Below are 27,861 nucleotides of genomic sequence, written 5' to 3' on the forward strand. Positions count from 1 at the left end.
CTGAACCCAAGTCCCTGATTTCATAAAAAGCATCCGGAATCCTGCTTTCCTGCCACTGTTATCCCACAGGGGACAGGGCAGGAGTTGGCAGCTCAGGGCTGGTGAGAAGTCCAGAGGGCTAGCCAGGCACTCTGGCCATGCTCTTCCTAGGTGGCCTGAGAGTCCATATACTGAGCCAAGATGGCGGCCTTCCAGTTGCAGGAGTGTTAGGCCAGCCCAGATTGGCAAGCTGGGTTCTCCAGGCCCTGGGCCAGTATTCTGGACTGGGACTCAGTGGACTTTGAAGAGGTAGAATTCCCTAAGTCGGCCTCTCTCCTTGATAATTTACCCAGAATGGCCCAGATGACAATCTGGGTACAAAATATTTCAGTCCATTTCATCATGTTTACCAAGTACCAGGAGTCAATAGAATTTATGAGTGATAACTAAAGGGTAAGGCACTTTACATCTTAATCCTCTCAGCCACCTTGTAAAGCAGGTATTATCTCCATTTTTAAGTCGTGGAAACTGAGGTCCAGGGAGGCACAAGATCACATGACTAAGGGAGTGGGGAAAGCCAGGATTGGAGATTGGGTTAATAGGGCTCCAAAATGCCTGATCTTTCCACTCCCCTGAGTGCTCAGGGGTGATGAAGATGACTAAGACCCTGTTCCTTCCCTTGGGAGGGAGCGAAATACCCACTCCAGCTAACTATTGCATGGGTCAGGGTGACATCACCACCTCTGCAGCAGATGGAGGCTGATTCATCTGTGGGAGAGTCAGGAGGGGCCTCTGCGGAAGGGTCGGCTGGCTGGAAGGGTTGGCTGGCTGGAAGGGTCGGTTGGCTGGCGGGGGTTTTGAAGACGGCAAAGATAGAGAATGAGCCTTGGGGAGGTTCCAGGGCCAGATACAAACTGCCTGTATGCCTCCCAGGCAGGGGCCTCCTTGGCCTAGGTCCTTCCCATAGGAACTCAAACCACCACCACACTAACCATGGCTGAGGGGACCCGGCAGGCCGCAGTGGGGAGGGACGAGATCCCTGAGCTTACACAGGGGCTGAGGGGAGCTCAGTGAATCACCTAGGGGACACCTGGACCAAAGGTGGCGGAGGGGCGCATGGGTCTCCCTGCCAAGCTATGGGGGAGGGGATGGTGGACATGACAACTTCCAGCTCAGCGGTGCTTTAGGGTGGGGAGCCGGGATGAGGGAAGCTGGTGGCTATCCGGGGGGGGGTGCTCTGAGGTCTGCAGGGGAACTGCCTCCCCAAAGTTTCAAGCTAGGGGTGGAAGGGGGGATTTGCGGTCATTAGGAGCGGGAAGGAGGCCGGATGGGAGCACGAGGTGTCCCGCCTCCAAAGGGTGGAGGGCTCCCGGTGGGTGGCGCGGCGGCGGCCGCGGCGGTGAAGTCATCGTGGGGAGTGGTCCGCTTGCGGCGGGTGCGGGGGCTTCGCGGGCACCCAGTGGAGCAGCGGGAGCCCGGCGCCGTCGAGGGGCGGGCGATGGGGCGCCGGCCCGTCTTGGTAGGGGTGGGCTCCGCACTGGAGGCGGAGCTGCTGCTGGGTGGGGCGCGCCTCCGGCGCGGACGGAGGCGGCGGGACGCCCGCTCCCACGACCGGCCCACAATGAGGCGAGCGGGCAGCGCGGAGTAGGCGGCGGCCGGCCGGGCCGGGCCACGCGGCGGCGCTGCTCGGGCAGGTTAGGGCAGGGCCGCGGGGCGCCCGAGCGAGGACACCGCGGCCCCGCCTCCGCCCCTCCCCTCGCCTGCCGGTCGGCGCCCGAGCTCGGAGCCGCAGCCGCAGCCGGAAACCGGGCCCGCGCGGCGGCCGCCGTCCCGGCCAAGCCGGGGCCCCGAAGCCAGAGCCGGAGCCGGGCGGGCCGCGGGGTCATGGCTGGGCCGCGGGGCGCGCTGCTGGCCTGGTGCCGCCGCCAGTGCGAGGGCTACCGCGGCGTGGAGATCCGCGACCTGAGCAGCTCCTTCCGGGACGGCCTGGCCTTCTGCGCCATCCTGCACCGGCACCGGCCCGACCTGCTGTGAGTGCGGGGCCCCGGGCGAGCGGGCGGCGCGGGGCGGGCTGGGGCCGCGACCGCCGCCCCCCCTCAGTAACACGAAGCCCGGGCGGTGACAGGCGCCGCCCCCGGACACGGAGACGCCGACCCCCCCGACGGCCCCGGACGCCGGGCGGGTCCCTGAGACCCCGGCCCAGGGCGCCCCTCCCCCGCCCGGCCGCCCTGACCCCGCCCGTGGGATCCCGAACTCTCCCCCGAGGCTGGTCCCTCCGCGGGGACACTGGCCCCGCCCACAAAGCGCTGATTTCCGCCGAGGATCGCTGAACCCCTAAGCCCTTGACCTCTTTGAAGGGGTGTTGAGCCCTCTTTGGGGGCCCTGGGCCTCTCCTACCCTAAACTCTTCTCCACGGGCTCGCCGGGCCTCCCCTCTCCCCCGAGGCTTCCCACTCGGGGTGGCCCCTTGCTCCGGGTGTGCAGGTGAACCCCCACTTCTCTGACCCCCAAATAGGAGCTTGTCTCCGGACAGTAGCACAGTTCCCGGCACAGAGGAGACCTCGGCTAACAGGTGTTGGATGAATGGATGTACAGACCCTGTGCTTTCCCCACGCCCCCCAACTTAGGACGCAGCCCTGCCTCCCGGGTGTGTGCTCGATGGCCCTGCAGCCCTCCTCAGTGGGGCACGCAGGTGGGGCGCGCAAGAGGAGTCACAGGCCGGCAATGTTGGGAAGACTCCTAGGATCCGATTGATAGACACCAACCGGGTGCTGCAGGTTGTGAAATGGCCCCTTCCTGCCCAGAGCTGCCCAATGAGGTTCTCATGGGAAAATGCATTCAGACTCCCCGGAACAGTTGACTTGGAGCCTCTGTCTTTGCTCTCTCTGCCTTGAGCCCTGGAACCTCTCCTCCTTTCGTCCCTTCATTCCTAAAACACTGGGTGAGTTTATCTGGTGCCATTCCTTGCACTTCAGGTCTCACCTGTGAATCAGGGAGGAGAGTTCTGGTCCCTACCCCTTTCGCATGCAGCCCTCTTGCCAGGGCTCCCCCAGCCTGGCAGATGGAGGCTTTCTGTGCCTGTTCCACCTCCAGATTTGCACTGTCCGAGGGCAGCATGTGGGAAGGCTTCTAAGGGATTGCCTCAGGATTCCATGATGCAGGTGCACCTGGTTTACCTGTATGTACCCTGCAGTACCGTGTCTGTGGGTGGTGGCTTGGGCCCTGGAGGAGAGGGTTTTGGGGCTGTGGATACAGAAGGGAACAAGATGAGGTGGTCATGTAGGTGGGCCCCTGCCCGCTGTGGGGCATGTGACACCCATACTAATGGAAGCACAAGGTTGATGCCTGGTTGCCCAGGAGCAGGGGGTAGAAGGATGGAGGAAAAGGGCACCAGGGTTAGACCTGGGCATTGGAAGGGAGGGCCCAAGGGGTCTTCTGTTTTGTTTGAGGGGCAGGAGTGAGGCAGGAAGCAGGGACAAACCCAGTGTGGGAGGGGACTTGGGTGTGAAGTGAAGCCATTTGGTGGGCCTGAGCCTGGTGGCATCAAAGTAAATAAAGGCCGCCTGGTTTGTGTTTAGCTTCTCCATGTCTTAGGCGCATGGCCTTGGGTCCTCATGGGCTCTCTCCAGGCATCAGTGTCCTCATCTGTGAGGTGGGATTGATAATGTGACACAGCTCACAGAAATGTGAGGATTGCATGAGATAACAAGCATTCATTTAACATTAGTTACTGTGAGTAACTAATGTTACTTTTTTTTTTTTTAATGTTTTTTATTTTTTTGAGATGGGGTCTCACTCTGTCACCCAGGCTGGAGTGCAGTGGCACAGTCATGGCTCACTGCAGCCCCCACCTCCCGGGCTCAAGCAATCCTCCCACCTCAACCTCCCTAGTAGCTGGGACCACAGGCACACGCCACCACGCCTGTCTAATTTGTTTGTATTTGTAGAGATGGGTTTTCACCATGTTGCCCAGGCTGGTCTTGAACTCTTGAGCTCAAGTAATCTGCCTACCTCAGCCTCCCAAAATGCTGGGATTACAGGCATGAGCCACCATGCCTGGCCCAATAACAATGTTTGATTTCTTCATTTATTCAACCAGTATTTGTAGAGTCATATTGCTCTGTGCTGGACACTGTACCTGGTAATGGAAGTACCAATCGACAAAACAGGCAACCCTACACGCTCTCCCACACCTGTAGGGGAAACGTGTATAAACGATGATGGCAATTCCATGTACCCTATCAGAGGGCTGGGGGTGGGAGACCTCCTAGGGAGAATATAGTCTTCAAGGAGATGGCAGGAGCCAGGTGAGGGCTGCTGGGTGGACGTTCTGGCATGGGACCCCATCTGAGCAAAGGCAAGGGGCGGGAGGTGTGTGCAAAGCTGGAGGCTGTGTAGCTGAGTGGGGAGCACAAGGTAGCGAGTTGGGAGATGCAGTTGGGACAGATGGCTGACAGCTGCTTTTGCTGGCTAAGGAGCATGGATAGGGGCCTCAGGGAACCATGCAGGGTTTTTTTTGTTTTTGTTTTTGTTTTTTTGAGATGGAGGCCTGTCACCCAGGCTGGAGTGCAGTGGCGTGATCTCGGCTCACCACAACCTCTGCCTCCCGGATTCAAGCGATTCTCCTGCCTCAGCCTCCCAAGTAGCTGGGATTACAGGCACGCACCACCATGCCTGGCTAATTTTTGTAGTTTTTAGTAGAGATGGGGTTTCACCATGTTGGCCAGGCTGGTCTCGAACTCCTGACCTCAGGTGATCCGCCTGCCTCGGCCTCCCAAAGTGCTGGGATTACAGGCGTGAGCCACCATGCCTGGCCGAGCCACGTAGGTTTTTTTTTTTGAGACGGAGTCTCGCTCTGTCAGCCAAGCTGGAGTGCAGTGGCATGATCTCTGCTCACTGCAAGCTCCACCTCTTGGGTTCACGCCATTCTCCTGCCTTAGCCTCCCGAGTAGCTGGGACTACAGGTGCCCGCCACCATGCCTGGCTAATTTGTTGTATTTTTAGCAGAGACGGGGTTTCACTGTGTTAGTCAGGATGGTCTCAATCTCCTGACCTCGTGATCCACCTGCCTTGGCCTCCCAAAGTGCTGGGATTATAGGTGTGAGCCACCGCGCCTGGCCAACCACGTAGGTTTTAAGCAAGGGAGGGATGTGGCTGGAAAAAATGTGCAGGGGAGGGTGGCTCCGCTTCTGAGATCCAGAATCATGTCCAGGCATTCATTTGCAATATTGCCAGCGCATTGCACAGGAGAGAAGCTGAGGCCCAGGTCCCACATAATGTGTAGGGAAGTCCTCAGTGATGGGTTGGGAGGATCTCCGTGAGAATAGGAGTGGCCTAGAGTGAGGGCAAGAATCATCTCCTAAATTGGTTCAGGCTTCTGGGGCTGTGGGCCCTGCCTGGGTGAACCCAGTGTTGGCCCAGGGCTCTGCTGGGACGAGGGTTGTGGGGGCTGGGCCATCCCTCCGCACCACCCGAAATCCAGACATGCTTAAGCTCCTTTGAGGGCGTGGACCATGTGGGTTTCATTTCTGTGTCCTTCATCTTCCCCAGAGCCAAGTAGAACTCCGCAGGCCTCTGAAGACTCTCAGAAAATATATGTGTTACCAAAACACAGATGTTAATTAGGGACAGAGATGGGGGTGGAAGAAAACCTGCAGGATCCTGAAGGTTTTTTACAGTTTTCACACTGTTTTCAACATTGATTCATTCAACAAACATTTACGGAGCATCTTCGAAATTTGGGGAACTGTGTAGGGAGTTGGGGGCACAGAGTAGCTAGAATGTGACCCCAGCCTTCTTGGAACACTTCTGGGGTGACCGAAATAAACGGCTGAGACAAGTTGCTTTTGTCTCATTTGGTCTTGGAAAAAGCCTCTGTTGGGGGCTGGGTACCATGGTGTTTTCCTCGCCCTGTTGCAGTGTCCTGAACCGGACCGGGAGACAGAGGTTTCGAGAGGTGAAACACCTTGCTAAGGTCGCACTCTGAGGCAGTGGCAGAAAAGGGGAGCTAGGGAGGCAGCCCAGGGGAGAAGGAAGTGGCCTGGTCAGAGTGGCAAAAAGGGAGCTGGTGCCCAGACATAGTCACCTTGCCTCTCCCCGTCCACCCAGCCCTGGGGCACCAGACCCCTTCCAAGGTCCTCAAGCAACTCTTTCCTGCCCAGGGTTCACAGTCCCTGGCCCCTGCCTGGAAAAGTGTTGGGGGCAGGAGGAGGGGGCTGTGCTTACCTGGCTCCCTCATATCTGCGAGGCCTGCCCTTTACCAAGCTGGGACTCCACCAGCTTGGGAGGTGGTATTAGTGCTTTTCCTGATTTGCACATGGGACAATGAATGCTGGAAGGACTGCTGATCCCCCCAACCCCATGGTCACATGGGAATTCAGCCCTCAGAGGCGGCGTGGCCTGCTCTTGCCTCTGCCCACCCATCTCCGGCAGTCAGGGCTGCAGTTTTCAGCCATAGAAGGGCAAGGCTGCATGCGGATGCACCCAGGAGGCTGCCCGGCGGGAAGACTGAGCTGTCTCTGCTGGTTTCAGCGGCCTGGAGTGGGGAGGGAGGAGGGGGATAAATAAAGCCTGCAGGCCAGCCAGCTGTCCCGTGCTGGGGCCCCCAGACAGGCCCTGCCACCTCTCACCTTTCCTAGTTTAGAAAATCCCTCACTGCTTCCCCAATGGAGGCTGCCCCAGGAGTGGCCCAGTGGGGCCAACCAGCTGTTCTATGCCAGCAGCTCCGGAGTATGTACATTTCCACTCTGGTTCAAACTTGTTCTTCTATTCACGGCCCCATTAAGAAAAACATTCATCTGCAGGCTGGACCGGGTTGGGATGCAGCAAGTTGGTGTGGCTACTCCGAGTGTGTGACACACCTGCAGGGGCCTGTGAGCAGTGGGAGGGCCAGACATGTGGATTCCCAGGGCTGGTGGCTTCCTTTCTCCAGGCCTCAGTGTCCTCATCTATAAAATGAGATCAATTCTTGCCAAACAGAGTTGCTGTGAAAAGAAAGTAAATGAGACAGAGGAGCCCAGCACTGCGCCCTGGGGGAGGTCACATGCGGGTCTTAGTTATGTCTTTGCCACGGACTCCAGGGGTGGCTTCCTGCAGAGAGGCAAAGGATCTTAAGCTTGAAAGCCTGGGCTTGAGCCTCACCCCTTCCCAGTGATTTCCTAGCCTCTGCTTGGATGCCTCCAGGGCCCGTGATCTCATGCCCTGCCCTGCCCTGGCAGCTCCAGCTCTAGCAGCGAATGTTTGCTGCCTCAGTTTCCCCCTTAGTAATCCACAGACTCCCCCCCAGCAACCCTGCTGAGGTTGATGCTGGCTGGGACAAGGTCTTCTCTGTTCAGCTCCTTTCTGACTCTGACCCCGCCCCTATTTCCCAGTCACCTCCCCTCTTGACCAACCCTCCTCCCTTTGCCTCTTGCAGAGATTTTGATTCGCTTTCCAAGGACAATGTCTTCGAGAATAACCGTTTGGTAAGTTCCCGGACAGGTGGAAGCCCAAGAGGCTCTGTGTATGTGTGTGTGTGTGTGTGTGTGTTTGGTGGGGAGGGCAGGGGTCTTGCACGGTGGCTGCCCTTGTACACCGGCCCTGGCTGCACCTTTCCCCACCCTCTGCTTCCCACCAGCCTCCTCATGCATGGAGCACCAGGCTTCCCCTTTCTCCAGGCCATCCTGTGGTGCTTGGGTGGGATTAATACTGAGGGGAGCCCACAGTCACCCCATCCCACTGAAGGGAGCTGGGCCTAGGCTGAGGGGTCGCCCCCTAACGCCTCCTCCTCTTCCTGCTTCGGCTGCTCCCGCCCTTGTACCTGTCACCACCCCAGGCCTTTGAAGTGGCTGAGAAGGAGCTGGGGATCCCCGCTCTCCTGGACCCCAATGACATGGTCTCCATGAGCGTCCCTGACTGCCTCAGCATCATGACCTATGTGTCCCAGTATTACAACCACTTCTGCAGTCCTGGCCAAGGTGAGAGGGGGACTCAGCGTTTCACGGAGGCTGGCCCAGGGGGTGGCCCTGGGGATGTCTGATGCTTGCTACTGGTTTTCTGAGTTGTAAACAGGCTGCTGAGGAGTGTGTCATTCATTTACTTATTCATTAATTCACTCATTGAAATATTTCTTTTTTTTTTTGAGACAGAGTTTCGCTCTTTTTTTTTTTGAGATGGAGTCTTGCCCTGTCACCCAGGCTGGATTGCGATGGCACGATCTCGGCTCACTGCAACCTCCGCCTCCTGGGTTTAACCTCCTGCCTCAGACTCCCAAGTAGCTGGGATTACAGGCACCCGGCACCACGCCCGGCTAATTTTTTGTGTCTTTAGTAGAGACAGGGTTTCACTATGTTGGCCAGGCTGGTCTCAAACTCTTGACCTCGTGATCTGCCCGCCTTGGCCTCCCCAAGTGCTGGGATTACAGGCGTGAGCCACTGTGCCCAGTCCCACTTTTTTTTTTTTTTTGAGACGGAGTTTCACTCTTGTTGCACAGGCTAGAGTGCAATGGCACGATCTTGTCTCACTGCAACCTCCGCTTCCTGAGTTTAAGCAATTCTCCTGTCTCAGCCTCCTGAGTAGCTGGGATTACAGGCACCCACCACTACACCTGGCTAATTTTTGGTATTTTTAGTAGAGATGAGGTTTCACCATGTTGGCCAGGCTGGTCTTGAACTCCTGACCTCAGGTGATCTGCCCGCCTCAGCCTCCAAAAGTGCTGGGACTACAGACGTGAGCCACTGGTGCCCGGCCTGACATATATCTTGAGTAAAAGAGCCTGTGCTGGGCTCTGGGGATGCAGCTGTGAATGTAATCACTGCTGAAGTCCCGTGGGGGAGATAGACACCAAACACACCCACCAGAAAATGAACACAATCATATCAGAGGAGACACAGCAGGTTGCGTTCATCCGCTGCATGGAGTCCACCTCCCCGGCACCCACCCTCACTTCCTGTTTGCAGACACTTCCTTGGGTTTTTCCTCCAGCAGGGAAGTGGCTCTGTCTGGTGAGGCTGCTGTGCTGTCTTCCACAGAAGTGACTGAGAGCTGAGAGGCTGGGGAACTGGGGAACCAGAGTTGCAGGGGCTACAAAGTGACTCGGTTCTGAGTGAGGTCACTGGGCATTCCCATGCAAGGACCTCCCTTGCAGGTAGCTGGGCCTCCCCTTCTGCAGAGATGAGATAGGCCTAGAGAGGGGAAGCAAGGAGCTCAAGATCACACAGCAGACAAACTGAACAGCTGGGTTGAGAATCCAGGTGTCCTGAATCCAACGCTGGATTCCTGCTGTCCCTGGGTCTGAGTAGAGCCCATTTCAGCCCCTCCCTCCTGCCTCTGCTGTCGGTCTAGACAGTTCTGGCCCAACTCTTTTTTTTTTTTTTTTGATACAGAGTTTTGCTCTTGTTGCCTAGGCTGGAGTGCGATGGCGCGATCTCGGCTTACTGCAACCTCTGCCCTCGGGGTTCAAGTGATTCTCCTGCTTCAGCCTCCTGAGTAGCTGGGATTACAGGCATGCACCAACATGTCCGGCTAATTTTTGTATTTTTAGTAGAGATGGGGTTTCGCCACTTTGGCCAGGCTGGTCTCAAACTCCTGACCTCAGGCGATCCACCTGCCTCGGCCTCCCAAAGTGGTAGGATTACAGGCATGAGCCACTGCGCCCGGCCCTGGCCCAACTCTTTAAAGTGTTTTATGAAGTCAGAGGTTTCTTTTCTTTTCTTTCTTTTTTTTTTTTGAAATGGAGTTTCACTCTTCTTGCCCAGGCTGGAGTGCAATGGCGCGGTCTCAGCTCACTGCAACCTCTACCTCCCGGGTTCAAGCGATTCTCCTGTTTTAGCCTCCCAAGTAGCTGGGATTACAGGCACCCGCCACCACACCCGGCTAATTTTTGTAGTTTTAGTAGAGACGGGGTTTCACCATGTTGGCCAGGCTGGTCTCGAATTCCTGACCTCAGGTGATCCACCCACCTCAGCCTCCCAAAGTGCTGGGATTACAGGCATGAGCCACTGCACCCAGCCATCTTTTCTTTCATTATATATATATATGTATATATATACATGCATATACATATATATGTACATATATTATGTGTATATATGCGTGCGCGCACACACACACACACGCACATATATGTGTATTTTTTTTGAGACAGGGTTTTACTCTGTTGTGTTGCCTAGGCTGGAGTGCAGTGGCATGATCACAGCTCAATGCGTCCTCAACCTTCCTGGGCTGCGGTGATCCTCCTATCTCAGCCTACTGAGAAGCTGGGACTACTGGTGCATGCAACCACACCCAGCTAACTTTTATATTTTTTGTAGAGGTGGAGTATCACCATGTTACCCAGGTTGGTCTTGAACTCCTAAGCTCAAGGGATCTACCCTTCTCGGCCTCCCAAAGTGCTGGGATTACAGGCATGAGCCACTATGCCCAGCCATAAATAAATAACTTTAGGAAAAAAAGAAAAAATAGCCGGGTGAAGTGGCTCATGCCTGTAATCCCAGCACTTTGGGAGGCCGAGGCAGGTGGATTGCTGTTGAGACCAGACTGGGCAACATAGCAAGAACCTGTCTCTACCAAAATAAAAATAAAAAAATTAACCAGGCATAGTGGTGGCACACCTGTAGTCCTAGCTACATGGGAGGTTGAGATGGGAGGTTTGCTTGAGGCCAGGAGTTTGAGGCTGCGGTGAGCTATGATCACGCCAGTGCACTGCAGCCTGGGCAACAGAGCGAGACCCCATCCCTAAACAGAAAAAATAAACAAGAAAATTTAGAACATGGCAAAAGCAGAAAAATTAAAATAATGTCTTATACCCCTTCCCCCTGATGTAACACTAGGGATTAAAATAATTGAACAAATAACATTATGTATATTTTAATAGAAAACAAAATGAAAGTATTTCCAGACCCCAGAGGCTCTGGTGAGAGGCAGTCTAAGGTTGGGGTTAAGAGCATGGACTCAAAATTTTCACTCTGCCATTTCCTCTTTGGGTGACCATGGGTCAGTTATTTAACCACTCTGCCTCAGTTTCCCTTTTGCAGTGAGGATAGGAATAACACCCATCTCACAGGGTTGACTTGAGGAGTAAATGAGGAAATGTATAAACCAGTGTTTGGCACCTATTTAGATTAGTATTCTTTTTTTTTTTTTTTTTTGAGACAGAGTCTCGCTGTGTCATCCAGGCTGGAGCTCAGTGGCACAACCTTGGCAGACTGCAGCCTCTGCCTCCCATGTTCAAGCGATTCTCATGCCTCAGTCTCCCAAGTAGCTGGGATTACAGGTGCGCACCACCACGCCTGGCTTAATTTTTGTATTTTTAGTAGAGATAGGGTTTCACTATGATGGCCGGTCTGGTCTGGGATTTCTGACCTCAAGTGATCCACCCACCTTGGCCTCCCAAAGTGCTGGGATTACAGGTGTGAGCCACTGCGCCCAGCCAAGATTAGTATTCTTACTACTTCTTATTTCACTGATTAGCGTTTAGCTGGATTCCTTAGAATCGCAATTCAGCCTTAGCCTGCGGCCTTCCTTGTGGCCAAACCTGAATCTCTCTCTACTGAGCTCATCTCTGGGACTCTGCGGGGTGGGTGGGGTGTGGGCAGCTGTTGGTGGTACGCAGCTCATTCGTTGGCCCTCTCTGGGCAGCCTGGTGGGCAGGGGCAGCCCTGGTGGGCACAGCTTACCGTGCTGAGTGTGGGCATGGGCACTCCCTCGCCCTGCAGGGATTCTCATTGATAAAGGTACAGTTTGTGGCAGACAGTCCTTTGTTATGCTGCCTGTATTTTCAGCCTCGCAATGTATTTTCATACCTTCTCTAATAAATCTGCCTTTTGTAATAAAAAAGAAAAGGTACAGTTTGTGCCTTTCATACAACTTGGCCCCTAAATGCAAACCATTTTTATCCCATCTGCTGCTTAAGCAAAGGAAACAGTGATGTGTTCCAACTCTGGAGGCAAAGCTGGCTGTTCGACTCCCCCAGATGGTCCTGTACTGTACTTTCTGGGCGAGTGGAGGCATTTCAAGAGTGACTTTGACTAGCCTTGACTTTTTACCAGACTGGGTAAGTTTGGAGCCTGCCCCTGGCTGAGATGTCGTGGTGCTGTGCTGAGTGTTCAGCTGTGCCACCACGCTCAGTGGGTGCCAGTGACCCCGGGCACAACAGACAGACCCCCACCCTGGAGGAGCTGCAGCCTGCTCAGGGAGCCAGGGCAGGAGTGAAGGAAGCCGAGTGGCTGTGGGAAATCAGAAAGGGGTTGGGGAGTAATGTCAGGATGAAGTCCAGCTTCTTCATGTGGCTTCTAAGGGCCTCTCCCCAGTCAGCTGGAGCCACTCCTGGCACCAACCATAGTGTTATTGAATTTATTTCTTTTTTTGAGACAGAGTCTTGCTCGGTTGCCCAGGCTGGAGTGCAGTGGCGCGATCTCAACTCACTGTAACCTCCACCTCCCAGGTTCGAGCGATTCTCCTGCCTTAGCCTTCCGAGTGGCTGAGTGGCTGTGATTATAGGCGCGCACCACCATGTCCAGCTGATTTTTGTATTTTTAGTAGAGATGGTGTTTCACTATGTTGGCCAGGCTGGTCTTGAACTCCTGACCTCAAATGATCCACCCACCTCAGCCTCCCAAAGTGCTGGGATTATAGACGTGAGCCACTGTGCCCGGCCTGAGGAGCTGAGTCTTAGAGGAACCCAGGGTGGGTGGGTTTGTTCTGGTGAGGGGGTGTGCAGGCCGGGTTCTGGCCCCCAATACCCACTTGGGGATAGGCAGGACAGCTCCTTGTCAACCCCAAGGAGGCAGCGCCTTTCCTGAGCTGTCAGGGCAGCACCATATGGTTCCTTTCTTTTCCTTTCCTTCACCTCCTCTACCCTGGTGGCAGGGAAGCTGCTGGTGTAGCCACACGCGGGTGCTGTGTTCTGTGATCGTACTGTTGCGCCATTGTTCGGATTGGCTCTGTGCAGTAGGAGTCACTCTCCCCATTTGATGGAGGTTCAGTGAGGTTCATGGCTTGCCCTCAGCACTTGGCTTAAAACTGGAAGCGTCCCCGGGCCCGTGTGAAGCGGGAGCCAGCTCCTGTCCCACTGCATTAGGTGGTCTGCCTTTAGGTGATGGCTACAGGTCTCAAATCTTCAGCCAGGTTGGGACCTCCTGGGACTCCAGGATCTCCACCTGCTTCAGGACCCCTTTCTCATCTCTTGGCAGCTGGTGTCTCGCCACCCAGAAAGGGCCTTGCACCCTGTTCCCCGCCGTCTGTAGCACCCACTCCAGTGGAACCAGAAGATGTGGCTCAGGTAGGCAGATACCTGGAGAGGTGGGAGGGCCAGGGGTGGAGGGGGCGAGTTATGTGGACGACTATCATTGCAGTGACTGGGTCATGTGAGGAAGTTAGCCCTGACAGTGTTCAGAGGGTGCTTGTTCTCTGTCCCTGCCCTATTGGCTTTGGGAACAGGTGTCCCTGACTGGGGCAGTGAGGCATGGGTCAGGAGGCCAGTCCCGTTCTATGGGCAGGGAGCCCTACCTCCTTCTCCAGGACTCAGGTGGGGTCAGGAGATGCCAGCTCTGGCAAGGGGAGAGAGGGCAGTCCACAATGCTGACTTCACCATCATGGGACTGTCAGGAGTTACACACGTAGTAAAGCAAAGATTCCCCTTGATTCCTGTGGAGACAGCTGTAAACTTCCCGGCTTGATTTCCTTTAATCCTCTCAACAACCCAGGGAGGTCAGCATTATGGGCCCTGGTATACAGATGAGGAAACTGAGGCTCAGTGAGGTTTAGTCATTTGTCCAAGGTTACTTAGTAAGGAAGTGGGGGCCAACTGCCAGTCACCTGTTTGAAGGGCTTAGAGGAAGTGACACCAGCCCTTCACATCTGGACGGCACCTTACAGTGTGTAAAGGGCCTTCCCCTCCTGCTCCCATCTGCTCTTTGCTGGAGGGAGCTAGCCCCAGGGTGGGTGCTCCATGAGGGTACATGGGGCTGAGGCTGGCAGGGGTTATACAGTTTCATTCTGCAGGTGGGACCCAAGCCCACACTTGAGCAGCTTGCTCAGGTTCACTGTGCTTGGATGTAGAGAAACTGGGATTTAAATCCGTGGCAGTTCTAGGAGAGAACAGAAAAGGCAGCTGAGGTCGGCCTGGGAGGACAGGAACCTGTCAGGGGGGCTCCCCCGCAAAGGGGAGGAGGAGGGGGCAGGAGCCGCCAAGGGGAAGGGGCTGCACAGCCAGGAGCTGCCTTCCTTTGGGGAGGGAAGCCTCAGAAACCGGAAGTCAGGATTTTCGTGTTTCCGCACTGGCTCAGTGACCTTGAACAAGGCTTTCCTCCGTTCTGGGCTTTGGCTTCCTCACCTGGGAGACAGTGGCAGCCTCCTGCCCTCTGCCCCTCCTGGGGCCCTGATGAAGTCCATTTCCACCACGAAGCCTGGTGCACACTTGAGTGACGGTGGCCGTTGGAGGGAGGGAGAGGGCAGTGATGTGAACAGGATGGCTGGTGACCATGTCCTGCTCCCAACCTCCCCCACCTCGTTCTCTGCAGGGCGAGGAGCTCTCCTCAGGCAGCCTGTCAGAGCAGGGCACCGGCCAGACCCCCAGCAGCACGTGCGCAGCCTGCCAGCAGCATGTGCACTTGGTGCAGCGCTACCTGGCTGACGGCAGGCTGTACCATCGCCACTGCTTCCGGTGAGTGGCCAGGGCCGCGTGTTACCCCCGAAACCAGGGAGGGGGCTACCGTGGGTTCAGCACACACAGTGCGCCAGGCACCTTGCCAGGCCCTTCACACCAGAGCCCCTGGCTTATCCCCATTTTACTGATGAGCAAACCAAGGCTTAGTGAGGGGAAAAGCAGTTGCTCAGCCACATGATTCGAGACAGAAACAGGGTTAGAGCACAGGGGTTTTCCTTCCAGCGCCTACGCTTTTTGAGGATAACTACTGGATGAGGATGAAGGAGCACTTTAAAAGCCACGTGTACTTTAAAAGCCATTGAAAATTAGCCGGGCATGGTGGTGCACACCTCTAATCCCAGCTACTCGAGAGGCTGAGGCAGGAGAATCGCTCAAACCCGGGAGGCAGAGGTTACAGGAAGCCGAGATCGTGCTACTGCATTCCAGCCTGGGTGACAGAGCGAGACTCTGTCTCAAAAAAAAAAAAAAAAAAAAGGCCATTGAAAAAATAAAATGAAATATTTTAGCTTAAAAAATTTTTTTTTGGCCGGGTATGGTGGCTCACGCCTGTAATCCCAGCACTTTGGGAGGCCGAGACAGGTGGATCACCCTGAGGTCAGGAGTTTGAGACCAGCCTGATCAACGTGGTGAAACCTCATCTCTACTAAAAATACAAAAATTAGCTGGGTGTGGTCGTGGGCACCTGTAATCCCGGCTACTCGGGAAGCTGAGGCAGGAATCACTTGAAGCCAGGAGGTGGAGGTTGCAGTGAGCTGAGATCGCACCTTTGCACTCCAGCCTGGGCGACAGAACGAGACTCTGTCTCAAAAAAAAAATCTTTTTTTCTTTTAAGATGGGTCTACTATGTTGCCCAGGCTGGTCTCAACCTCCTTGGCTCAAGTGATCTTCCTGTCTTACCCTCCCAAGTAATCGGGACTACAGGCATGTGCTACCATGTTCTGCTTGAAGTTTTAAAAAATTACAGTAACAACTTGCTTTAAGTATGTGGCTTCCAAGGGAAGCCAGATTTTAAGAGAGTGGTATAAGCAGCAAGGAAAGTAAAAAAACTTAGAAAATTCATGGAAACATTTTATATGTTTCAAAAATGAAACCAAAAGAGGAAATTGAACAGTCAAGGAAGCCGGGAGTGGCAGCACGCACTTGATCTGGTTGAGTGTGCCCCTGAGTGGGGGGCAGCTGGTGCTGGAACCCTGGAACCTGACCGCAGAATTGGGGTGTCATGGGGAAAAATCTCGAGGAGGAAACAGACTCTACCAACACAGTCACATCTGGCTACCAGGGCAGTGTTTTAGAAACTTTTTACAGGCCGGAGCTGGGTGTGGTGGTGGCTCATGCCTATAATCCCAGCACTTTCGGAGGCTGAGGCTGGAGGATCGCTTGAGGCCCAGAGTTTAAGACTAGCCTGGGCAACATAATGAGACTTCATCTCTACAAAAAAATTAAAAAAAAAAAAAATTAGGCCAGGCGCAATGGCTCATGTCTGTAATCCCAGCACTTTGGGAGGCCGAGGCGGGTGGATCACGAGGTCAGGAGATCGAAGCCATCCTGGCTAACACGGTGAAACCCCGTCTCTACTAAAAATACAAAAAAAATTAGCCGGGCATGGTGGTGGCAGGCGCCTGTAGTCCCAGCTACTCGGGAGGCTGAGGCAGGAGAATGGTGTGAACCTGGGAGGCAGAGCTTGCAGTGAGCCGAGATCACGCCACTGCACTCCGGCCTGGGCGACAGACTGAGACTCCGTCTCAAAAAAAAAAAAATTAGCCTAGTGTAGTGGCACGCACCTGTAGTCTTAGGCATTTGGGAGGCTGAGGCAGGAGGATCACTTGAGCCCAGGAGTTTGAGGCTGCAGTGAGTTATGACTGCACTACTGCACTCCAACCTGGGTGACAGTGAGACCCTGCCTCAAAAATAAAAAGAAACTTTTTATAGCAACTCCTAGTAAAAAATACACTTGACACTGTGACTAGATGTAAATATTTACCTGAAATAAAACTGTGTAAGTAGAGGCACAGCTGGAGTAAGAGTTTCACAAAGCACTATTTGGCCTTTCTTGTATGATACTGTCTTATACATTGTATCTTATTCTATTTCATTAACAAAACACAGCCGGAAGTAGTGGCTCACACCTGTAATCCCAGCACTTTGGGAGGCCTATGCAGGTGGATCACTTGAGGTTGGGAGTTTGAGACCAGCCTGGCCGACTTGGTGAAACTCCGTCTCTACTAAAAATGCCAAAAAAAAATTAGCCAGGTGTGGTGGCAGATGCCTGTAATCCCAGCCACTCGGAAGGCTGAGGCAGGAGAATCTCTTGAACCCGAGAGGCGGAGGTTGCAGTGAGCCAAGGTCGCACCATTGCACTCCAGCCTGGACAACAAGAGTGAGACTCCATCTCAAAAAAACAAAACAAAACAAAATGAAAACAAAACACAAAACAACACCTGATTGGGTAAAAACCACTGCTTTATTTTCCTGAGCCACTACTGGATGCAGCCACTCACTGGATGCCACCTCTCAGGGGGACCTTTGCTTCTTCCTCTTGCAGCATAAACTGAAGGCATTTTTCACAATTTCTGTTGCTGAGTTCGTGTGATTTGGTGATTTTATTGTTCCACTATGCTTCTGACAGTTACTGTTTTCTTTATCCTCTGGGAAGTCTAGGGTATGGAGTCGAGCTTGGCTGGCAGTTGGGAGGAGGGAAGGGAGGAGACAGCCCTGGGTGCGGCTGGAGGGGTAGCCAGTGCCTGGGCCCAGCTGCCTGGCTAAGTGAACCCCTGTCCTGTCCCCTGCCAGGTGTCGGCGGTGCTCCAGCACCCTGCTCCCTGGGGCTTATGAGAATGGGCCTGAGGAGGGCACCTTTGTGTGTGCAGAACACTGTGCCAGGCTGGGCCCGGGGACACGGTCGGGGACCAGGCCTGGGCCCTTCTCACAGCCAAAGCAGCAGCACCAGCAGCAACTCGCAGAAGATGCCAAGGATGTTCCAGGAGGCGGCCCCAGCTCCAGTGCTCCTGCAGGGGCTGAGGCCGATGGACCCAAGGCCAGCCCTGAGGCCCGGCCGCAGATCCCTACCAAGCCCCGGGTTCCTGGCAAACTACAGGAGCTGGCCAGCCCCCCTGCGGGCCGCCCCACCCCTGCCCCCAGGAAGGCCTCTGAGAGCACCACCCCAGCACCCCCCACGCCCCGGCCCCGCTCCAGTCTGCAGCAGGAGAACCTGGTGGAGCAGGCTGGCAGCAGCAGCCTGGTGAACGGTGAGCAGGGTGCAGTCAGGGCAGGGGGCACCGGGTGGCAGTGCACTGTCTATTGAAAAGTCTGTGTGTCTGGGAGTGTTGGTGGGCCCCTCTCCATCTGTGCCATTGTGTGCTGTGCTGTGTTGGGGCCTGCCTGTGTTTTTGAGGTTATTATATATATATATATATATATATATTTTTTTTTTTTTTTTTTTTTTTTTGAGATGGAGTTTTGCTCTTGTCCCCCAGGCTGGAGTGCAGTGGCTTGACCTCGGCTCACTGCAACTTCCACCTCCCGGGTTCAAGCGATTCTCCTGCCTCAGCCTCCTGAGTAGCTGGGATTACAGGCATGCGCCACCATGCCCAGCTAATTTTGTTTTGTTTTTTTTTGTTTTTTTTTTTTTTTTTTTTTAGTAGAGACGGGGTTTCTCCATGTTGGTCAAGCTGGTGTTGAACTCCCTACCTCAGGTGATCTGCCTGCCTCGGCCTCCCAAAGTGCTGGGATTACAGGCGTGAGCCACTGTGCCCAGCCTATTATTATTATTTTTGAGATGGAATCCCACTCTGTCACCCAGGTTGGAGTGCAGTGGTGCGATCTCGGCTCACTGCAACCTTTGCCTCCCGGCTTCAATCAGTTATCCTGCCTCAGCCTCTTGAGTAGCTGGGATTACAGGCTACCACAGCCTGGCTAATTTTTGTATTTTTAGTAAAGATGAGGTTTCACCATGTTGGCCAGGCTGGTCTCAAACTCCCGACCTCAGGTGATCTGCCCACCTCAGCCTCTCAAAGTGCTGGGAGTACAGGCATGAGCCACTGTGCCGGGCTCTTTTTATTTTTTTTGAGACGGAATCTCACTCTGTCATCCAGGTGGAGTGCAATGGCACAATCTCGGCTCACTGCAATCTCTGCCTTCCAGGTTCAAGCGATTCTCCTGCCTCAGCCTTCCAAGTAGCTGGGACTACAGGTGCACACCACTATGTCTGGCTAATTTTTGTATTTTTGGGTAGAGATGGGTTTTCACCATGTTGGCCAGGCTGGTCTCGAACTCCTGACTTCAGGTGATCTGCCCGCCTTGGCCTCACAAAGTGCTGGGATTAAGGCCTGAGCCACCATGCCTGGCCTGTTTCTGAGGATATTAATTCCTGCCCCAAATGCCGAGTTCCTGCAGCCTCTGCCGTGCTCTGTTCTCCATGCTGGGACGGTGCAAACAATACAGACCCAGGCCCCGCCCTTACACTGCCTCCCTCTGCATGCGCTCTTTTGCATCTGTTCTTGTGGGCTTTAGTTTCAGGGTGTGTAGTAAGTGCCACTCTGCATGTGCCCGTGTGTCCCCGAGCTCTCTGGGACTCTGCACATTGGTGTCCTTCCTGTGTGTCCTGGCCCATCCACAGGCACACTGCAGGTGACCTCCATGCCCAGCCTCTATGCTTGTCTATGTCTAGAAGGGGAGAGCTCAGGGGCTTGGGGGAGAGCAGAGGGGTCAGGTGGGCCCCGGAGCCAGTGTGAGCTGCAGTGGAGACCCCTGGCCCATTCTGTGGGTGCATTCTCCCCCAACCCCACATTGTAGAATGCTCCCAGATGACCTCCCTGGGTTTCCGTGAGCTTGTAGGATTGAGACTCCTTGTATAAGGCTGCTGGGCAGCCCTTATCATTCCATTAGGGAAGGCATTGGTGGCCACGGGGAGAGAGACTCCCAGGGTCACCCTGCGACTTGCACCAGAACATTCTATTTGTTCAGCTCTTGTGGAGGCTGGATCTGAGCTGACCGCTGGGGACACAGATTACTGTTCAGGCCTATCTGTGCCTTCAGGGTGCTCCCAGTGTTGAGGTGGAGACAGGCACAGATGCAAGGGTTTCAGTGGATTGTGGAAGTCTTGCTAAGTTGGAAGGAGGGGAGCAGGGGCTGCTGTGGGATTCACAGAGGACACTTGGGAGTCCAGGACTTCCAGGAGGAGGTGGCTCCCAGGCTGACTTGAGATGATGTTTTCTGCCCACACTGGCGGGGGGTGTCTGAGGGGATTTGGGTTTCTTCTCAAATGAAATGCAAACGGGGTCTCAGGTGGCCTGGCCTTGACCCCTGACTGTTCTCAGGCACCTGGGTGCTTATCTAATCTCCATGGGCTGGCCTGGGGAGGTGCGAGGGTGCCAGGAGGAAGGCGGGGCGCTCCTGGGGAGGCAGGTGCTGTGGCTGGCTCCCTGGGTGCCCACCTCCTGCTGCCCATGAAGGCCTGGCTCACTCTCCTTTCCCATCTAGGGAGACTGCACGAACTGCCTGTCCCCAAGCCGAGGGGGACACCGAAGCCGTCCGAGGGGTATGTCGATCCCTGAGGGGCTTTCCTGCTTTGGAGGTCCTGGTGGTGGGAATCAGGGTACTCTGGGGCCGGGTAGGGAGAGAGGCTTCCTGTGGATGGGCAGGGCGGGGCTCAGGAGGGGAAGGAGAGCTGGGCCCACACCCCTTCTCCTGAGGCTCACCCCGGGATTCCTGCGGCCAGTGCCTGGCCCCCTCCCCAGGTCCCTGCTCCTGTGGGCAGTGCCCGGTGCAGGCAGCCACCTCTGGTACCCGTTGCCTCTCCAGGCTCCTTTGCCCTGTAACATGGGAGGCCGAGGCTTGATTATAGAGTTGATTTGAGGCTTAGCAGCAGAGTATAGAAAGACCTGGAAAAGCTCAGCTGTAGTACCAGTCCCTCAGGTCCTGCAGCACGGGACCCTGCTTCACGTGGAGGACATCTACTTCAGCTGTTATTTGAGGGCCATGCTTCCCCCATGTGGTCGGTCTGTAGGGAGCCAGGTGGGCCATGGCTGTGCCAGTTGTTAACGTTTACTGAGTCCCTGGCACTGAGCAGGTGCCCCAGTGCCCCGCCCAGTGCTGCACTCCATAGCTCACTGCATCCTTACACCAACCCTGTGAGGCAAGGATTATTAAGGTCCCCATTGAGTGGAAAGGGAGACTAATACAGAGGGAGGGCAGGTGACTTTCCCAGGGTACATGGATTGTAGGTGGCAGAGCCCCTGGTCGATCCTTTCCTGGGCTGGGTTAACAGCAGCTCTGTGACTTGAAGGTTCACATTCTCTGGGCCTCAAAGGCTGTGACTGTAACATTCCATTTCAGACTGTCCCCATGGGGATGGGGGTGGGAGAAGGGAAACAGCCGTTTCTCATCCACCCCCTTTGAAGTAGAGTCAAAACTGTCTAGAGAGAGAAGGAAGCTGACCCTTGCCTCTGCTAATGGTTTCTGCTGCTTCCCCCCTCCTCCAGGACACCAGCCCCCAGGAAGGACCCCCCATGGATCACGCTGGTGCAGGCAGAACCAAAGAAGAAGCCAGCCCCACTTCCCCCAAGCAGCAGCCCGGGGCCACCAAGCCAGGACAGCAGGCAGGTGGAGAATGGAGGCACCGAGGAGGTGGCCCAGCCGAGCCCAACGGCCAGCCTGGAGTCCAAACCCTATAACCCCTTTGAGGAGGAGGAGGAGGACAAGGAGGAAGAGGCTCCAGCTGCACCCAGCCTGGCCACCAGCCCTGCCCTGGGCCACCCGGAGTCCACACCCAAGTCCCTGCACCCCTGGTACGGCATCACCCCTACCAGCAGCCCCAAGACAAAGAAGCGCCCTGCCCCGCGCGCACCCAGCGCGTCCCCACTGGGTGAGTGCCTTTCCTGGAGCTCTCCTGACAGTCGGAACTCGGGGGTGGGGCCCGGGCCTGGGGAGGGGGTGTGGTGGGGCAGAGCCTACCAGGCCAGGCACCACGTGTTTCATGGGTGACTTCTCATTTAATCCTAGAGCAAACCTGTGAGTAGGTATCGTCACCTCCACTTTGCAGGTGAGGAGACTGAGGCACAGAGAGGCTAAGTAGTTTGCCTAAAGCCTCTCAGTGCTTAAGCAGGAGAGGCAGGATTTGAACCCACGGAGTCTGGCCCGAGTCCATCTCTTCACCCTCCCTGTCGTGCTCGTTAAACGTGCTGTCTAGTGGTGTGCTCAGTGCAGCGAGGGGCTCATGGAAAGGAGGCGTTTGCTTGAATCCTGCCTAACTCTGTCACTGTCGCTGCAGTTCCTGAGCGACCTGGGCTCTCACCTGGCCATGTGTGACCAGGTGTAATGACTCTGACTGTCCCTGAGTCTGTCTGTAGTCCTCCATGTGACATGGTGGCTCAGCTCCAGGCTGCTGGGCCTCCTCCGCCCAGTGCTTCCCCCCTCACCCAGGAACGCTGGAGTTTTTGGCCCTCACCTTCTCCCAGTCTTCTGATACCCTGAGCTGGGTTTTTGGCCCTAACCTTCACCATGGCTGGGTCTGGCCGCCTCTGAGAGTTCCATGGGACCCCCTCTCACAGTGGGGCAAGAGCATGCCAGAGCTGGCAGAGGCAGGTGCTCAGGGGGTCTGAGCGGAGCCCTGGGACCCCAGCTGAGGCTGGCCTGTCTGGGTGGAAGTGGTGGGCAGCTTCAGGGGACAGCAGAGGAGCATGAGCTCTGGAGTCAGATACAGTGGATTCAGTCCCACCCCGTGCTGGGGCGAGTGCCCTCTCCTCTCTAAGCCTGTTGCCTCATCTGGAAAATGCAGATAATGTGTTTGGAAGCATCATATCCATCAGCCACGAGGAGATAAATTGGTGCCCGGCAGTGCCTGTCCCAGAGCTGGTGGCTGCGAGGGCTGCGTGCTCCTCCCCTCTGCCTCCGCACTGCAGATCAGGGGCAGAGGAGGGGCCACCTCTCTTCCTCTGGCATTCCCAAGGTGGTTTTGCTGTGGGTGCCCTCATGGGGGCTATGGGGAGTGTGGGGAAGTGGAGGCAGCAGGCAGAACGCAAGGCGGGCGGGTTGGACTCGGGTGGCTGGATGCACCTCATGACTTCCGTCCTGCCGGGCGTTTGCTGTTCCCTGGGCCTTGGCCCTGTCTCGATGTGGAGGGCTTGGGTTTCTGGGGCTGCCTGCGGCTCTGTTGAGAGTGGAGCCGGGAGGTGGGGCTGGAAGCCCTTGTGGTGCTCCCCTTGTGAGGTGTCCTGGTGCTCGTCCGCACAGCTCTCCACGCCTCCCGCCTCTCGCACTCGGAGCCGCCCTCGGCCACACCATCGCCAGCGCTCAGCGTGGAGAGCCTGTCGTCTGAGAGCGCCAGCCAGACTGCAGGTGCAGAGCTTCTGGAGCCGCCAGCTGTGCCCAAGAGCTCCTCAGAGCCTGCTGTCCATGCCCCTGGTACCCCTGGAAACCCTGTCAGCCTCTCTACCAACTCCTCCCTGGCCTCCTCTGGGGAACTAGTGGAGCCTAGAGTGGAACAAATGCCTCAAGCCAGCCCTGGCCTTGCCCCCAGGACCAGGGGCAGCTCAGGTCCCCAGCCAGCCAAGCCCTGCAGTGGCGCCACCCCAACGCCTCTCTTGTTGGTTGGAGACAGGAGCCCGGTGCCTTCCCCTGGAAGCTCGTCCCCACAGCTGCAGGTAAAGGTGAGTGCCCCCTCACCCTCACTAAAAGTGACATCCTCTCTAGTGGATGCGGGTCTGGTCTCAGGGCAGAAATGTCCAGGGCCTTTTCTTAATTTTTTTGAGATGGAGTCTCTCTCTGTCACCCAGGCTGGAGTGCAGTGGCGCGATCTTGGCTCACTGCAAGCTCTGCCTCCTGGGTTCACGCCATTCTCCTGCCTGAGCCCCCAAGTAGCTGGTACTACAGGCGCCCACCACCACGCCCGGCTAATTTTTTGTATTTTTAGTAGAGTGGGGTTTTCACCCCGTTAGCCAGGATGGTCTCGATCTCCTGACCTCGTGATCCGCCTGCCTCAGCCTCCCAAAGTGCTGGGATTACAGGCATGAACCACCATGCTTGGCCTTCTTTTTTATTTTTTTTTGAGACGGAGTCTCGCTCTATCACCCAGCCTGGAGTGCAGTGGTGTGATCTCGGCTCTCTGCAAGCTCCGCCTCCCAGGTTCACACCATTCTTCTGTCTCAGTCTCCCGAGTAGCTGGGACTACAGGCGCCCGCCACCATGCCCAGCTAATTTTTTGTATTTTTAGTAGAGACGGGGTTTCACCGTGTTAGCCAAGATGGTCTCGATCTCCTGACCTCACGATCCACCCGCCTTGGCCTCCCAAAGTGCTGCAATTACAGGCGTGAGCCACTGCCCCCGGCTGTCTAGGGCCTTTTCTATCTTTACTGGCCTCTGACTTCCTGAGTGGCCTTGGCCAGTCTATCTACCCATTACCCACTCTGTCCAATGAGGCACAAACCCGTCTGTCCATGCTTCCATCCATCTGCCAGAGCTCCCACCTATCTATCCACCTGTCCACAAACATAGCCTCCCAGGTCTTATGTATCAGGGCCCCTGTTTGCCTCCCATCCCCTCCACTTGCCTATTTGGGTTCCACTCACCAGCCACCAGTCATCCCGTATTGTCTGTCCGCTCTTCCATTCACTCAGGCTCTACTGATGCCAGACCCTGGGCAGAGTTGTATTAAAACCCTATCCTGGCTGGGCGTGGTGGCTCACACCTGTAATCCCAGCACTTTGGAGGCTGAGGCAGGCAGGTCACTTGAGGATAGGAGTTTGAGACCAGCCTGGCCAACATGGTGAAACCCCATCTCTACTAAAAATACAAAAATTAGCCAGGTGTGGTGGCAGGCACCTGTAATCCTGGCTACTTGGGAGGCTGAGGTAGGAGAATTGCTTGAACCTGGGAGGTGGAGGTTGTAGTGAGCTGAGATGGCCCACAGCCTGGGCAACAGAATGAGACTCTGTCTCAGAAAAAAAAAAGACCCTGTCTTTGGCCTCCAGGGGCTCACGATCTGCTCAGGGAGATAGGCATAATGGGCATTTTGGAAGGTGACCTAGAGTAGAGCACAGAGGGGAGGGATTCACTCCCTTCTGCAGAGACCTGGGTCTCCCCGCCATGGAACAGGGGAGCTGGGGTCTCTGAATGCCTCCCATGTGCATGGCTGCCTGGGCTCCACAGGTCATGTGGACATAGTGGTCCCTGTCCCCAAGGCGCTCCCAGCCAGGTCAGGGGGAGGTGCTATAATGTACATGCTGCTGTGTGTGGAGTTTGTAGTGGGCAGGGGGTCAGCCCTCAACAGGCAGAAGGACCCAGGACACACAGCTTTCTTGGGTGCTTCTGTTGTGTGCCATGAGGGGTGTTTACCGAGGAGAGCAGACGTGGCCCTATCCTGTCCTCCTGCTCCCTTGCTGGGCTCTGTCTTTTCTCAGGTGACATGGGCGTGGGGAGGTTCTGGCTGGGCACCCATCCAGGCTGCTCCTGTTCCAGGTATGCTGTGTGCTGTGGGCTCACCTGTTTCTCAGCCCCATACTGAGAACCTGGGGATTGCCTGGGCTCAGTACTTTCCTCTGGGCACCCAGTTCATGAGGGCCCTGTCTTGCAGCCACAGCGCCTTTGGATGGCCCAACGCTCTGCAGGCCTCTGAGCTCCCAAGGCTCATCTGGCCCCAGGTAGAGGGTGGCAGGACAGCCTTTGTGGGGCAGCTGAAGTTGTAGCCTGACCCTGCCCATGTGCCTCAGGCATCGTTGAACCTTCCCTGGTCCCGGCAAGAGCCTCTTGGGCATTGATTCTGGCTCTGCCTCCCACCTGCTGTGTGTCCTTGAGCAGGCCCCATCCTCCTCTGGGCCTCGGGCTCCCACAGATGGTGAGGGGCTGGCGGCACCAAGTGTCCTGAGTGCTCGAAAGACCCCCTGGTTCCTTGGTGGTGGAGGGCACGGGGGTGGGTCACCTTCGGATTCTCGTGTTTCGTGTCCTGGGCTGCGTGAATATTGGTCTGAAGTTTTGGGGCTGAGAAAAGGCTGAAAACCTTTGAGGGGCTCAGGGGCTTTGGGCTGCTTGGCTCTGCTGGCCCCTCTGGGTGTGTTAGAGGGAGGGGGCAGAACCCCGGGTGCACTTGCTTGTGGGGAACCCCTGTCCCACTGTCACCCCAGGATTAGGGGAGACTTTCAGAGGCAGTGGGGGCCTTGGGGTGCCACCCTGGGTCATTGGGTGGGTGCTGCCCTGTGGGAGCCAAGCCCTGGCTTCTTGCTGTGCCCAGACCTGGGCCCCAGCACCCTCCCTGCTTCAGAAACCCCAGAGCAGCTCCCACCCCGAGAGCCTCTCTCCCTGGGCTGGCACAGGCCTCCACCTGCTCCGCAGCTGCCGAGGGAAAGCTGGGTCAGTGCTTCTTGGAGCATCCCAGGTCTCAGGTGAGGCCTCTGTAAGGGGCTCGCAGTGACGTCTGTTTCCAATGAGCTGGGAAGAGTGGTTGGGAAATAGTGACATTGCCCGTGTGGTGGGCAGGGCCTTGCCGTGCCCTGGCAGTGGAGCTGCCCGGCCTGTGCTGGCCTCAGAGAGGGCGGGGGTCTCCCCAGAGGCACGGAAGGATGCAGAGCCTGGGCTCTGGGTGTGTGGGTACTGGGCTGTGCAGCAGAGGATGAGATCTTTCTCTGGCAGGGAGGGAGGTACCCTCTGACTCCATCTGCTGGTCAAACACTTCCTGGCTGGGTGACCCTGGGTGAGGAACTTCACCTCTCTGAGCCTCAGAGTCCCCAGCGGGGAGAGGGTGGTTATGAGGCCTGAATGAACTACCATAGCTCTGTCTTGCCTTAAACCCAATGCCATTCTGTGCTTCTAGGGAAACCCCTGCCCTCTTTGAGGCTAGCACAGCCAGGCACCCCCACCAGTGGGGCACAGTAGGGCACTGCCTGCCACATGGGCAAGGTTCTAACCACTACCCCTCAATGCTAGATGGCTGCCCAGGCCCTGAAACAGACAGATTCTCACCCCAGCTTGGGCTCATGGGAAGTGTGTGGCCGTGAGCAAATGACTTAACCTCTCTGAACTTGAGTTTACTCAGCTGTGAAATGGTCATTGTAATATCCACTTGGCAGGGTGGTTGGGAGAATTAAACAAGAATGTATAAAAAGGCCAGGTGTGGTAATCCCAGCACTTTGGAAGGCCAAGGCAGGAGGATCACTTGAGCCCAGGAGTTTGGGACCAGCCTGGGCAACAAAGTGAGAACCTGTCTTTACAAAAAAAAAAAAGTAAATACAAAAAATTAGCCAGGCGTGGTGGTGCAAGCCTGTAGTCCCAGCTTCTCGAGAGGCTGAGCTGGGAGGATTGCTTGAGCCCCAGGAGGCTGAGGCTGCAGTGCAGCCATGGTTATGCCACAGCTGCACCCAGCCTGGTGACAGAATGAGACTGTCTCCAAAAAGTGTAAAAAGTATCCAGTGCAGTAACTGACACACGGGAAGAGCTCTGGAAAAGGAAATGGAAATGTTTATTGAATGACTGAGTGCATCAGAGACGGAATTCAAGGAGACTGTCTCTTTGCCTGGGTCCTGCTGGCCCTGGAGTGCTGGCCTGCTTTCCATGTTCCCAAATATGAGGCTGCTGGGGTCTCACGTGCCCTCTTCCCAGGCTCACCCTCTGTCATGTCTCCTTCCCTTTAGTCCTCCTGCAAGGAGAATCCTTTTAACCGGAAGCCATCACCTGCAGCGTCCCCAGCCACAAAGAAGGCCACCAAGGGATCCAAGCCAGTGAGGCCACCTGCCCCTGGACACGGCTTTCCACTCATCAAACGCAAGGTACCAGCTGGGAGCCCCCCGAGACCAGGCTGGCCTGGGCTGGCAACCCCCACTCTGCAGCTGCAGTCTTCCCCTGGGACTCTAAGGAGGCTGGCTGGCTAGGCAGTGGGCCTCAGATGCTCAAGAGAGCACTCTTGGCGGCCCAACTGGAAGGTCTAGCTTGCAGCCTGGAGGGATTTGGAGCAGATCAGCCCTTCACCACCAAAAGCAGTGGGTGGTGCATTTAATTTGTTACTAACAAGTTCAAGTATCAAGCACTCATGATAACACTGCTACTTAAGCTGATTAGAGTGTTCTCAAGTTTATCTCTGTAATAAGGTCACTCTCACTGACATTGTGATACCCTTTCTGGAGTGGCAGAGAGGAGGCGTTTCCGTGAAGGGCAGGGAGTCATGCCACCTTCTGGAGTGTCTGTTGGTGCTGGGACCAGTGGCATGCAGGGTTGTGGCTGTCCCCACACTGGCCCCTTCCCCACTGGGACCCTGCC

General features: G+C 55.9%; 1 protein-coding gene across 12 annotated transcripts in view, besides 12 other annotated features; it reads left to right on the forward strand.

Annotated features, from left to right (window-relative positions):
- Positions 429 to 1,244: an enhancer, noted in NCBI's record as "H3K27ac-H3K4me1 hESC enhancer chr22:38300995-38301810 (GRCh37/hg19 assembly coordinates)". NCBI's record gives its function as "activates a minimal SCP1, AML or CMV promoter by ChIP-STARR-seq in primed H9 embryonic stem cells {active_cell/tissue: H9 hESC(primed)}" and the evidence as "EXISTENCE:reporter gene assay evidence [ECO:0000049][PMID:30033119]".
- Positions 1,245 to 2,060: an enhancer, noted in NCBI's record as "H3K27ac-H3K4me1 hESC enhancer chr22:38301811-38302626 (GRCh37/hg19 assembly coordinates)". NCBI's record gives its function as "activates a minimal SCP1, AML or CMV promoter by ChIP-STARR-seq in primed H9 embryonic stem cells {active_cell/tissue: H9 hESC(primed)}" and the evidence as "EXISTENCE:reporter gene assay evidence [ECO:0000049][PMID:30033119]".
- Positions 1,245 to 2,070: a biological region, named in NCBI's record as "H3K27ac-H3K4me1 hESC enhancer GRCh37_chr22:38301811-38302626".
- Positions 1,351 to 2,070: a silencer, noted in NCBI's record as "silent region_13703". NCBI's record gives its function as "represses an Ori minimal core promoter by ATAC-STARR-seq in GM12878 lymphoblastoid cells {active_cell/tissue: GM12878}" and the evidence as "EXISTENCE:reporter gene assay evidence [ECO:0000049][PMID:35858748]".
- The window catches only part of MICALL1 (MICAL like 1), a 36,526-nt gene continuing 10,402 nt past the window's right edge, over positions 1,738 to 27,861 (forward strand). For 2 of the 12 annotated variants that reach the window (XM_011530471.3, NM_001410818.1), the window contains exons 1-11: positions 1,738 to 2,009; positions 7,393 to 7,441; positions 7,792 to 7,933; positions 13,148 to 13,236; positions 14,477 to 14,619; positions 17,413 to 17,867; positions 20,101 to 20,158; positions 21,102 to 21,484; positions 22,397 to 22,567; positions 22,852 to 23,267; positions 27,240 to 27,374. In XM_011530471.3, the coding sequence (XP_011528773.1) occupies positions 1,864 to 2,009; positions 7,393 to 7,441; positions 7,792 to 7,933; positions 13,148 to 13,236; positions 14,477 to 14,619; positions 17,413 to 17,867; positions 20,101 to 20,158; positions 21,102 to 21,484; positions 22,397 to 22,567; positions 22,852 to 23,267; positions 27,240 to 27,374 (2,187 nt within the window). In that variant the 5' untranslated portion in view covers positions 1,738 to 1,863. The other 10 variants (XM_011530472.3, XM_047441552.1, NM_001410819.1 and 7 more) reach the window with 7 other exon arrangements.
- Positions 2,061 to 2,876: an enhancer, noted in NCBI's record as "H3K27ac-H3K4me1 hESC enhancer chr22:38302627-38303442 (GRCh37/hg19 assembly coordinates)". NCBI's record gives its function as "activates a minimal SCP1, AML or CMV promoter by ChIP-STARR-seq in naive H9 embryonic stem cells {active_cell/tissue: H9 hESC(naive)}" and the evidence as "EXISTENCE:reporter gene assay evidence [ECO:0000049][PMID:30033119]".
- Positions 2,181 to 2,290: a silencer, noted in NCBI's record as "silent region_13704". NCBI's record gives its function as "represses an Ori minimal core promoter by ATAC-STARR-seq in GM12878 lymphoblastoid cells {active_cell/tissue: GM12878}" and the evidence as "EXISTENCE:reporter gene assay evidence [ECO:0000049][PMID:35858748]".
- Positions 2,877 to 3,690: an enhancer, noted in NCBI's record as "H3K4me1 hESC enhancer chr22:38303443-38304256 (GRCh37/hg19 assembly coordinates)". NCBI's record gives its function as "activates a minimal SCP1, AML or CMV promoter by ChIP-STARR-seq in primed H9 embryonic stem cells {active_cell/tissue: H9 hESC(primed)}" and the evidence as "EXISTENCE:reporter gene assay evidence [ECO:0000049][PMID:30033119]".
- Positions 5,680 to 6,473: an enhancer, noted in NCBI's record as "H3K27ac-H3K4me1 hESC enhancer chr22:38306246-38307039 (GRCh37/hg19 assembly coordinates)". NCBI's record gives its function as "activates a minimal SCP1, AML or CMV promoter by ChIP-STARR-seq in primed H9 embryonic stem cells {active_cell/tissue: H9 hESC(primed)}" and the evidence as "EXISTENCE:reporter gene assay evidence [ECO:0000049][PMID:30033119]".
- Positions 12,510 to 13,010: an enhancer, noted in NCBI's record as "H3K4me1 hESC enhancer chr22:38313076-38313576 (GRCh37/hg19 assembly coordinates)". NCBI's record gives its function as "activates a minimal SCP1, AML or CMV promoter by ChIP-STARR-seq in naive H9 embryonic stem cells {active_cell/tissue: H9 hESC(naive)}" and the evidence as "EXISTENCE:reporter gene assay evidence [ECO:0000049][PMID:30033119]".
- Positions 13,383 to 13,545: a silencer, noted in NCBI's record as "fragment chr22:38313949-38314111 (GRCh37/hg19 assembly coordinates)". NCBI's record gives its function as "represses an EF-1alpha promoter that drives an FKBP-Casp9 reporter gene in an ReSE screen in phorbol 12-myristate 13-acetate-treated (for megakaryocytic differentiation) K562 erythroleukemia cells {active_cell/tissue: K562(+PMA)}" and the evidence as "EXISTENCE:reporter gene assay evidence [ECO:0000049][PMID:32094911]".
- Positions 13,807 to 14,308: an enhancer, noted in NCBI's record as "H3K4me1 hESC enhancer chr22:38314373-38314874 (GRCh37/hg19 assembly coordinates)". NCBI's record gives its function as "activates a minimal SCP1, AML or CMV promoter by ChIP-STARR-seq in primed H9 embryonic stem cells {active_cell/tissue: H9 hESC(primed)}" and the evidence as "EXISTENCE:reporter gene assay evidence [ECO:0000049][PMID:30033119]".
- Positions 14,309 to 14,808: an enhancer, noted in NCBI's record as "H3K4me1 hESC enhancer chr22:38314875-38315374 (GRCh37/hg19 assembly coordinates)". NCBI's record gives its function as "activates a minimal SCP1, AML or CMV promoter by ChIP-STARR-seq in primed H9 embryonic stem cells {active_cell/tissue: H9 hESC(primed)}" and the evidence as "EXISTENCE:reporter gene assay evidence [ECO:0000049][PMID:30033119]".

This window comes from Homo sapiens, chromosome 22 (genome assembly GCF_000001405.40).
Source record: "Homo sapiens chromosome 22, GRCh38.p14 Primary Assembly".
NCBI lineage: Eukaryota > Metazoa > Chordata > Mammalia > Primates > Hominidae > Homo > Homo sapiens.